Below are 11,672 nucleotides of genomic sequence, written 5' to 3'. Positions count from 1 at the left end.
TGTCCTATTGCATAGTAGGATGAGTATAGTTAACAATAACATATTATATATTTGAAAATAGCCAGAAGAGTAGATTTTGAATTTTCTCCCTACAGAAAAATCATTATGCAAATTACCCTGATTTGATCATTACACATTGAGTACATGTATTAAAACATCACATTCTACCCCATATATATGTACAGTTATTATGTGTCCATAAAAATTTAATGTCAATGTGTGAAATAAAATGAAAAAATAAAAATTTTTAAAGCTGTAATTATCTCCATCTGGTAGGAATATATACAATCTGAAATAAAAAATATATTTGTAATTGTTAGGACAAAATAGATTATACGTTAAGTCTGCAAATTATAAATTATAAAATTCTCACAGAACCTGAAAAATTATTGATACTGTTAAATATTTAAAAAGCTGTCCTTGGAGAGAAAGAAACCTATCAGATTTACATCAACAAGTGTAATATGTCAGCCTATTACCATCTGCTACAGACTGCATGTTTGTGTTCCCTCAAAATTCATATGATAGGCCGGGCGCGGTGGCTCATGCCTGTAATCCCAGCACTTTGGGAGGCCGAGGCGGGTGGATCATGAGGTCAGGAGATCGAGATCATCCTGGCTAACATGGTAAAACCCCGTCTCTACTGAAAATACAAAAAATTAGCCGGGCGCAGTGGCGGGCGCCTTAGTCCCAGCTACTGAGGAGGCTGACGCAGGAGAACGGCGTGAACCCAGGAGGCGGAGCTTGTAGAGAGCCGAGATTGTGCCACTGCACTCCAGCCTGGGTGACAGACAGAGCGAGACTCTGTCTCAAAAAAAAAAAAAAAAAAAAAAAATTCATATCATAAAGCCCTAACCCCCAAGGTGAGGATACTGGGAGGCGTGGCCTTTAGGAGAGAATTAGGTTTAGATGAGGTCATGAGAATAGAGCCCCTATGGTGGCATTACTTCCTTTATAAGAAGAGACACTAGAGCTGCTTTTCTCCCTACCATGTGAGGATACCGAGAGAAGATGGCCATTTCCAATCTAGGAAGCAGGCCCTCTTTAAGAAACACAATTTGCCAACACTTTGATCTTGCACTTCCAGTCTCCAGAACTGTGAGAAATATCTGTTTTTTTGTTTGTTTGTTTTTGTTTTTTTTGAGACAGAGTCGCATTCTGTCATCCAGGCTGGAGTACAGTGGTGCGATCATGGCTCACTGCAACCTCCGCCTCCCAGGTTCAAGCAATTCTCCCACCTCAGCCTCCCAAGTAGCTCAGACTACAGGCGTGCACCACCATGCCCAGCTGATTTTCGTAGAGACAAGGTTTTGCCATGCTGCCCAGGCTAGTCTCAAACTCCTGAGCTCAAGTTATCCACCTGCCTCGGCCTCCCAAAGTGTTAGGAATACAGGCATAAGCCACCACGCCTGGTCAAAATATCTACTGTTTAAGCTACCTAATTTATGGTATTCTGTTTTAGCAGCTGAAGCAGACTAAGATACCATCCTATAAGCTACAGACCAGCACTATCCAATAGAACTTTATATGACGAGGAAATGTTTTATATCTGTGCTATCCCTTATGTTAGCCACTAGCCACATGTATCCATCAAGTATTTGAAATATGGCTAGTGCAACTAAAGAACTTAATTTTTAATTTTCTTTTTTTTTTTTGAGATGGAGTCTCGCTCTGTCCCCCAGGCTGGAGTGCAGTGGCGCCATCTCGGCTCACTGCAAACTCTGCCTCCCAGGTTCACGCCATTCTCCTGCCTCAGCCTCCTGAGTAGCTGGGACTGCAGGCGCCCGCCACCACGCCCGGCTAATTTTTTGTATTTTTAATAGAGATGGGGGTTCACCGTCTTAGTAAGGATGGTCTCGATCTCCTGACCTAATGATCTGCCCGCCTCGGCCTCCCAAAGTGCTGGGATTACCGGCGTGAGCCACCACGCCCGGCCAATTTTTATTTCATCTTATTTAAATAACCACATGTGGCTAGTGGCTAATGTATTGAACACTACAGCTGTAGACAATACGAAATAAATATAAAGCAGTCTCCACTTTGGAAAAACAGAAGACTCTTACTGCCTCATAGTATAGATTAAAAAATGAAATACTAAGACAAGTAAAACGTTCTTTAAAGAACAAAAACAAAAGAAAACCTAATGAAAGCTAAAAAAGTCCATTGGATAATAATGCTACCAGTACTAAGGAAGTACAGCCCCTAAAAGTGACTTGCAGTCACAAATATAAAAATGACTATTCAAGTGAACTCCTAAGGTGAAAATTTCTTATTCACCATGCTCCAAAATGGTCTGTAATATTCTTCAGAGATGGCATGGTAAAGTACGATAAAAGGGTAATATTAACAGTATGCTGTCACAGGTGCCATTCTCTTAAAAAAGAAATCCAAAAATAAATATAAATGGAAAGCAAATAATTAATGGAGTTTTGACGGTCAATCAATGGTAAATATTATTGGCATTAGATTTTTCTATTAATTATAGTTTACCTATGATCATGTATTTTTCCATTTAAAAATTACCCTAAAACTTAATGGCTTAAAATAACAAATATGTATGACACAATTTATAGAAGTCAGGGAAATGATGGATTTGGGTAGGTGGTTCTGACTCGAAGTCTCTCATGAGTAAAGGTTGCTGTCATGTTGTTGACCCAGGCAGCATCCCCTGAAGCCTTTAACTTGTGTTGGAAGGTCCGTGTCTTAGTTTGTTTGCACTGTCGCTACAGAATACCATAGACAGGGTAGCTTATAAACAACAGAAACGTTTCTAATGGTACCGGAGGCTGGATGGTGCAAAATCAAGGTGCTTGCAGATTTGGTGTCTGGTCAGAGCCCATTTTTTAGTTCATAGATTACTGTCCTCTAGCTCACATGGCAGAAGGGGCAAGGACGCTTTTTGGGGTCTCTTTTACAAGGGCACTAATCCCCGGCTGGGCACGGTGGCTCACATCTGTAATCCCAGTACTTTGGGAGGCTGAGGCAGGCAGATCACGAGGTCAGGAGTTCCAGACCAGCCTGGCCAGTATGGTGAAACCCCGTCTCTACTAAAAATACAAAAATTAGCCAGGTGTGGTGGTGCGTACCTGTAGTCTCAGCTACTCAGCTACTCAGGAGGCTGAGGCAGAAGAAACACTTGAACCCAGGAGGCAGACGCTGCAGTGAGCTGACATGGCACCACTGCACTCCAGCCTGGGTAACAGAGCAAAACTCTGTCTCAAAAAATAAATAAATAAATAAATAAAAATAAAAATAAAAAATAATAATCAAGGCACTAATCCCCAACATGAAGACAGACTATCATCTACCAAAAGCTCCACCTCCTACTATCATTACACTGGGGGTTAGGATTTCACAAATTCAGTGCATCATAGTCTGCTTCTAGAATGTTTAATCATTTGGCTGGATATCAGATAGGATGCCTCGGTTCTTCATGTGAGCTTTCTAGAAAAGATAGTTTGGAATTATTTGCATGGTGGCTGGGCTCGTAAAGAGTTGAAGGAGAGAAAGAGAGAGAAACACCAGTAAGGAGCAAATTAGTTCACTCAAAATTAAAACCCTAGCCTTTGTGACCTTGTCTCAGAAGGTAACATTCCAATCCTGTGGTGTTTTATTTCTTAGATGGGAGTCACTCAGCTTAGCCTGCCTTCAAGGGGAGGAGTATGAAGCTCCACTTCTTAAACTGAGAAGAATCAACAAATATGTAGATATATATATTTTTAATAGTATTACAGCTCATGAACCCATTTAAACCCATTTTAGAACTTTAAAGAAATATTTTAAAACGGAATTTTCAATTAAGCAGAAGAAATTGCCAGCTGTGGAACAGTGAACTTTATCGCTGAAATCACACACACATATATACACACACACAGTGCAAACTCATACATGATCAAATCTATAATCTTATTACACAAAGTTTTGTGAGAGGAAAAATGCTTGACTTTTCAAAAGGGCTCATTTATTAAAAATAAAATGACCATTGTGTTCATTTTAGCTGCAACCTTTAAGCAATCAATGACTATATACTTGCTGTAATCATCCTTTAAAATTAGAATTATTGAAAAGCTTTATCACTGATGAATGAAAGAAAGTAATATTGATTTGTGGCCAAGAGAGATAATCTCAGGCAATAAACAGGTGCAGTCTTTGAAGGAATCATTTTATTTTATTACTTTCTGACATTATTGAAGCCAATTTTAAATAAATTCATCATGTTTTTAAATTTAATCACGTATTATTTTATCATACATTAGGTAAAGTTTCAATCTAAGTAACTCCTGGATAAAAAATGAAGTATATCAATTTACAATTACAAATACCCAAATTGTACAGGCATGCATTTTTCAATGACATTTATAAATTGTGTTTTGTTGTTTGTGCCTTGTGTTTGTTTTATTAATCAAATTAATTTATACAGATATATGTATGGAAATGAGACAGATATAACCAGTTCTCTATAAGTAAGCATTATCTAATGGAGTCTTTCCTTTCACTAATGATCATCAGGACAGCTAGGGAAGTGAGTTGAAATTTTCAGGCCATTAGGTTAATAGTTCTAGTAATTCTAGTAATGTTTCGACAGTCATAATATAAATGATACTATGTGGCTTGAATTAATGCATTTTCTTATGTAACAAATAATAAGACAATTTTTAAAAGTGGTAATTACTATTTTTAAATATGACAATTAAAAATAATGAAAGAAAAGAGGTTGTACATTGAGTAGCCATAACATTATCTTTAAACATATTTATTCTTCATTTCCTAACTTTTCCCACCTTTTGGCTAAATCGTATGTTCTTTCTCTAACCTCACTTCTGTTTTATTACTCTCTGGGAAAGATTTTTATATAAAACGTCTAAGCAATCAAACCTAACACAGGATGAATTTCTACACATTACTATACCCTCTGGTCACTATTTTTTTCTTCTCTTTATTGCCCATTTCCCTGATCTTGAAACATTCCAATTATTTGCCTTCCATGACATTCTACTCTTACTTTTACTTTTCTGTCTCTGATTACTCATTTCCAGTTCCTTTTGTCATCTCCTTGTCTTCCTACACCTGCCAATTAAATTTGAATTTCCTCTGCATTTCATCTTATGTCTCCTTTTCTTCTGCCAAATTCTCTCCTTAGACAAATACAGTCATTCCCATGGTTTTATATCCCACTTATATTCAAGGGCTCTAGAATGTATAGCGCCAGGCCAAATCTATCTTAAGAACTTACTTTACTTAACCAATTACAACTGCATCTGCTCAGGATCATGTAACCCACATCAGCATTTGGCTCTTCTGTAGACCCATTTTTTCTTTTCCTGGAAGTCTATTTTGACACCTACTTTCTGTCACTACCCACGTTTTAGCATTTAGCCTTGTCAATTTACTCTCATCCATATGTAACTCTATCCATTTTCTTCTCTCTATTATGAACAGCAGTTTGAGCCATCATGACCAATTTTGCAGTATCCCTTCTTAAATTAGCCTCCTGTTTCGCATTGGACATTTTCACCCCCCAGCAATTCCACCGATTTCATTCTCGGAAAAATATAAATGAAGAGTTACATTTTTCAATAGCCATAATCATTAAATTTCCATGTGTAAGAAAATGTTCAGAACAGTATCAGTGCATTTATAATAAAATTTTAAAACTTGACCCACAAATCTCTACTTGTCCTTCTAGTTTTATTTCATTTGTCTCTCGTCAATCTCTACATTCTGATCACCACAATCTTTTAATTCATCTGAAAGCTAAGCTCTCTCTTAATTTACATTCTCTATACTTGCAATTTTGTCTACCTAGAAGTGTCTTCTTCCATCTTTGGATTGTTATTGCAAATCCATTGAATAGTTCTCATCTGAATTGTTTCTTCCTTGGGATGACTTATAAACACTTCATCCTACAGCCAAATCAGAAGACCAATATCAAAATCTTTCATCACATCCTAAATTTGCTTATATGTAATTATATGGCAAGAATCTCTTTGTCTTTATAATCATGATTCACTTATCTATGTTTTTTAAAAACTCTTCTAGGTGGTGATGCTAAGCTCCGTAATGTTGGGCTTGTTACCTGTCTCAACTATCTTCCACACCTACCACAGTACCTGCTACATAGATGTATTCAATATATATTTTTAGAATTAGTAAATGATGAGCAAGCGTGTACTTTTGTTCTCTTTCATTACAGTGTTAGAAATGCTATTACAGCATTAGAAAAGATAATCAGAAAGAAAATTTAATAGATCATCAGAAAAAAATCCCAAGACTTTTAGGCAAATGAGCCTACAAACACAGGTGGAATGGACTTGCAATTTACCAAGAAATAGGTTTGTCATACTTAGAAACCAACTGTATAAACATGTTTTTATCTATTAATAACTCCATTTTCCAAAACGCTCTACTTTATATGAGACAATTCTTGATGGAAATACCATTTGCTTCTAGGCTCGTTGCTTAAACATAAAGTTAAAAATCTTTGTATGACACATAAAATTGTGGTGACTGCTTAACTTTGCAACTATAGCGCTCCTGAAATGCTCATTTAACCAGTCTGTGTTCCAGACCTACAGAACTTAGATGGTGCTAACATTGCGCAAAAATTGTGTATTTCTTCTACAACTAACTTCTGATAAAAAGGGGGCAGAGAAGGTTAACTCTCTCCCCCTTTAGCTTTATTTGCTTAGTGAATTTCTACAAAACATAATTTAAGTGCTATATTTTTCCAAGGTTTTAATAAGGAAATAAAAACCGCAATAGGTATCTTAAGCAGAAAGTGCATTTCATACATATACAATAGGAAGGGCTAAAATAACTAAAGTAGCTGTGGCATGGAGGAAGGTTTTGAGTTCTTGAATTCAAAGGCACGCAATCATTTCTGCAATCCTGGGTCAAAAAGATGCTCCTGCTATTAAAACTTTAAGCCTCTTATGCCCATGAAACTGGGGATTAGGCACAAGGATATTGAATCCTACCACTTCCACTACTTCTGAACTATTGTCCCCATGATTTCACTTGCCAGAATCAACAATAGCAAGACAGGCTTTGATCTCTTCCATTTTTCTAAGTCTGATTCATATGCAAACAATCGGTAAGTGGTCTAAGCTGCATGCATAAAGCTAGCTCAAGGGAAGCTGCATTGCTTGTTTTGTTTTAATTTTCTAACCTCTTCAAAGAGTGGAACGAAAGTTGAGGAAACCTGTCCAACAGTCTACCACACACCTTCCATGAAAGGTTCCCCAACACCTCCAACAAAATAATGTAAACACATGCTGGAACCTATATTACTCTCGCACCATAACACTTCCCACACTTCCCACAATACTTTTTCTCTTCATGGGAATATCCTTCCAAAACATGCTGATATCTCCTAAGCATTATTCATCTGTCGAATTTTCCCACCTATTGTAAGGTCTTCCAATTGTTAGGTTCTTAATAAATATATTTTAAATTATTAAAATTCTGAACTAATGGGTAATCAACTGTACAACCCGAATTGCTGATTTGCATACAGCTGAAGTCCCTCCTCAAAACTTCTGTAATACATGAAACTTAGGCAAATGGTTGGGTCATTACCATATATTACTTTATATTTTTATTTATCAGTATATGTGATTACAGTTATGCTTATGTTAATTGATATGTATATGTTAACTTTTATACATATGTACATTGTATTATTTTGTTACATAGCACAGCATTTTGTACTCAAAAAGTGACCAATAATAATAAGCTACATACTTTGGGAAGCATTGCAGGCTAGTCGTACAGTTTTGTTTTGTTTTTTTCCCTGCAGCCTGACAACCTTTTCAGTCATTCACTAAACCTCTCTCAGCTTCAGTTTCTTCATCTGCAACATATAGCAAATAATAAAACTTAACTCAGATGGTTCTAGTGTGAAATAATACAGAGTAAATGTGCCACCAAATACAAACCAATGGCTTGATTGACATAACTCACTGCTAATTTTCTTGAAATGATTCAAAGTATTTTCCAGACAAGCACACACTGAGGGAATTCGTCACCACCAAACGAGTCCTATGAGAAATACTCAAAGGTGTCCCAAACACAAAAATGAAAGGTCAACATTCATCATCATCATCAAAACACATGAAAGTAGCAAACTCATAGGTCTTGTAAAACAGTCACACAAAGTAGGACGAGCAATCAAATAGCAACACAACAGATTTCCACCAAACCACAAAGACAAAGAGACACACAGAAAGAAAAACAAAAAACAACAACAAAATAACCCCAAGGAACTTATAAAACAAGTAGAAAACAAACAGCAATATGGCAGAAAGAAAACCTCATGTATTAACATTAACCTTGAATGTAAATGAATTAAACATTCCACTTAAAATATATAGATTGATAGATATTGGGCCAGGTGCAGTTGCTCACACCTGTAATCCCAGCACTTTGGGAGGCCGAGGTGGGTGGATCACGAGGTCAGGAGTTCGAGGCCAGGCTGGCCAACATAGTGAAACCCTATCTCCATTAAAAATACAAAAATTAGCCAGGCGTGGTGGCCGGCACCTGTAATCCCATCTACTTGGGAGGCTGAAGCAGGAGAATCGCTTGAACCTGCAAGACGGAGTTTGCAGTGAGCCAAGATTGCGCCACTGCACTCCACTCTGGATGACAGAGTGAAACTCCATCTAAAAGTAAAAAAAAAAAAAAAAAGAAAGGTAGATTGATGGAACGAACTAAAAAATGATCCAAAAATATTATGCTTACAAGAAACATATAGACACATACAGACTGAAAAGTAAAGACACATACAGATTTAAAGTAAATGGGTGAAAAAAGATACTCCATGTAACGGAGACTAAAAGCAAGCAGGAATAGCTATACTTATATCAAGTAAAACAGAACTTAAATCTAAAACAGTATAACAATGACAAAGGAAGTCATTACATAATGATAAAGGGATCAATTCAGCAAGAGGATATAACAATTCTAAACACATATGCATCCAACACTAGACCACCAAGATTCATCAAATAAATATTACTAGACATAAAAAAGGAATAGACAGCAATACGATAATACTGGGGGACTTTACCATCTCACTCACAGCATTAAATGTTATCATCAAGACAGAAAACAAATAAACCTAAGACTTAAATTCAACCTTAGATGAAATAGACCTAACTGACATTTACAGAAAATACTACCCAGCAACTACAGAATATACATTCTTAATAAAACCGCAATTTCACCCAACAATCCCACTACTGGAGATCTACCCAAAGGAGAACAGATAATTGTATGAAAAAGGTATCTGCACCCATATGTTTATCACAGCACTATTCACAATAGCAATGTGTCCCTCAGTGGATGATTACATTAATAAATCTGGCATATATGCGCTATAGAATACTATTCAGCTATACAAAAGAATAAAATCATGTCTTTTGTAACAACATGGATGTAACTGGTCATTATTTTAAGTGAAACAAATCAGACACAGAAAGACAAATACTGCATGTTCTCACTTATAACTGGAAGCTAAATAATGTATACACATGGACATAGAATGTGGAATGATAGACAACAGAGACTTGGAAATTTCAGGAGGGTGGGAGGAGGGGATGATGAGAAATTATGTAATGAGTACAATGTACATTTTTCAGGTGATGTATATTCTAAAACCCTTACTTCAACACTACGTACTTTATGGAGGTAATAAGATTATATTTGTATCCCACAAATTTACGTAAATAAAAAATTGCCTTCTGTACTTACTTTAGCCCAGTTATTGTTAGGTTCAACATTCAGCACTTTACTTAAATTTTCTATAGCTTTCTGGACCTTTTTTTGATATTTATATATAGTAGTGTGGCACAGAAGTGCTAATATTTACCAAAATAAAAGTTATATTTTTAATTAAAAATTAATTAAAAGGTTGTAGAATCTCAGGATGGAATGCAGACTGTTACAAATTTATCTAGCTCTATTATGAACCATACAAAATAACTTCAGTGAGGGACTTAAGGGAAAGGGTGCTAGTCAAAGTGATATTGAAAATGAGTGCAGTCTCTTAAGATGAAAGGCAAAAGAAACTTGTACGAAGGCATTTAATTTAGTTGATAAAGATGTTCTTCTACTAAGGGCAGGTTATCAATTCTGGTACAGCTATATACATATACTGGAAGTGAACAATTAACTAAATAGATGTCACAAAATAAGAGTCAGGATTTTTATTGTTGGAGTGGGGGTTTAGAGATACAGGAAGGCATTGATGCTTGCGGGACTAGGTTAGAGGTAGTGACATCAGTAAGAACCCATGTTTAGCTTAATATAGACATAGATGGTGATATGGTTTACATTTTGTCCCCTCTCAAACCTCTCGTCCAATTGTAATCGCCAGTGTTGAAGGAGGGGTCTAGTGGGAGGGGATTGGATTATGGGGGCAGATTTCCTCCTTGCTGTTCTTGTGATAATGACTTAGTTCTCACACAATCTGGTTGTTTAAAAGTGTGTAGCATCTCCCCCTTAGTTCTCTTCCTCCTTCTCCAGCCATGTAAGATGTGCCTGCTTCCTCTTTGCCTTCTGCTATGACTGTACGTTTTCTGAGGCTTCCCCATCCTTGCTTCCTGTACAGCCTGTGCAACTGTGAGGCAATTAAAGCTCTTTTCTTTATAAATTACCTAGGATCAGGTAGTTCTTTATAACAATGGGATAATGGACTAATATAGATGTTTACATATAGAAATATTTAAAGATATGTGTCTACATATGTGTAAGAATATACACATTGTTTCTTTGCTCTCTCATCTTAGAGAGCTATGAAAAAATTGATATTCCCTTAGCTACAGGCACAGCTAGCACTTAAATATTGATTTCATATATAGAAAGCAGGGCGTCTTTGAAAGTGGCTGATTCTAAGAATGGGGAAGAAAATACACAAGATGAGCCTGGGACATCCTCTAGTGCCAGAAATTATGAAAATACTAACAAAAATCTATTTGTGAGATATGTCAAACAAGCACAGGGGCCAAGTGAAAGGTCTTTCAATTTCTAGAATAATTTTAGCAACACAATACATTAATTGGTATTATATTTGGATTATACCCAAAAATGTAATTTTCCTTAGTCCATATTGATATCAATAAATGACTGAATAAACAAATGAATGAGATAAAAGAGGTAAATCTCCTCTGCAAATAATTTACATATGTATTCCAACTAAAGGAAGTCAGCTCTTAAAGACATCTTAAGCAATACTGCAACTGAATTAGCTTTCCAAAGATACTGTCACAATTCATCTATTCCAAGACCTATACATTTCATATTTTAATATCTCCTGAAAATATAATGCATTTTACAATTCAGTGGTATGTCTTAGTTTAATTAGCCACAATGCGAATTACTTGCTTAACGGGACATAAAATAGTGCATTATACAATCTATGGGCTCTTGGACTCAAGAAAATACGATAGAAAGGAGTTTATGTTAGAGTCTGCGCACTGACTAAAGATCAGAGCAGAAAGCAGATTCTAGGAACAGTCACATTTGTGGCAGTCACTGGTCTCGGCATGCAACAAAATTCAAAGTAAATAGTGGTAAGGTGGGAAATGGACAAAGCTATGTAGCTAGAATCAGAAGTCCTTGAAATCAAAACATCAAGATTCAAACTATTTAGGGGCAGTGGGGCTGACGTG

General features: G+C 36.4%; 1 annotated feature.

Moving 5' to 3' along the window:
* Positions 6,760-7,361: an enhancer, noted in NCBI's record as "OCT4-NANOG hESC enhancer chr5:69185827-69186428 (GRCh37/hg19 assembly coordinates)". NCBI's record gives its function as "activates a minimal SCP1, AML or CMV promoter by ChIP-STARR-seq in naive H9 embryonic stem cells {active_cell/tissue: H9 hESC(naive)}" and the evidence as "EXISTENCE:reporter gene assay evidence [ECO:0000049][PMID:30033119]".

This window comes from Homo sapiens, chromosome 5 (assembly GCF_000001405.40).
Source record: "Homo sapiens chromosome 5, GRCh38.p14 Primary Assembly".
NCBI classification, from domain to species: domain Eukaryota; kingdom Metazoa; phylum Chordata; class Mammalia; order Primates; family Hominidae; genus Homo; species Homo sapiens.
Note: the sequence above shows the minus strand (reverse complement) of the source record. Positions and strands in the feature narration are given on the sequence as shown.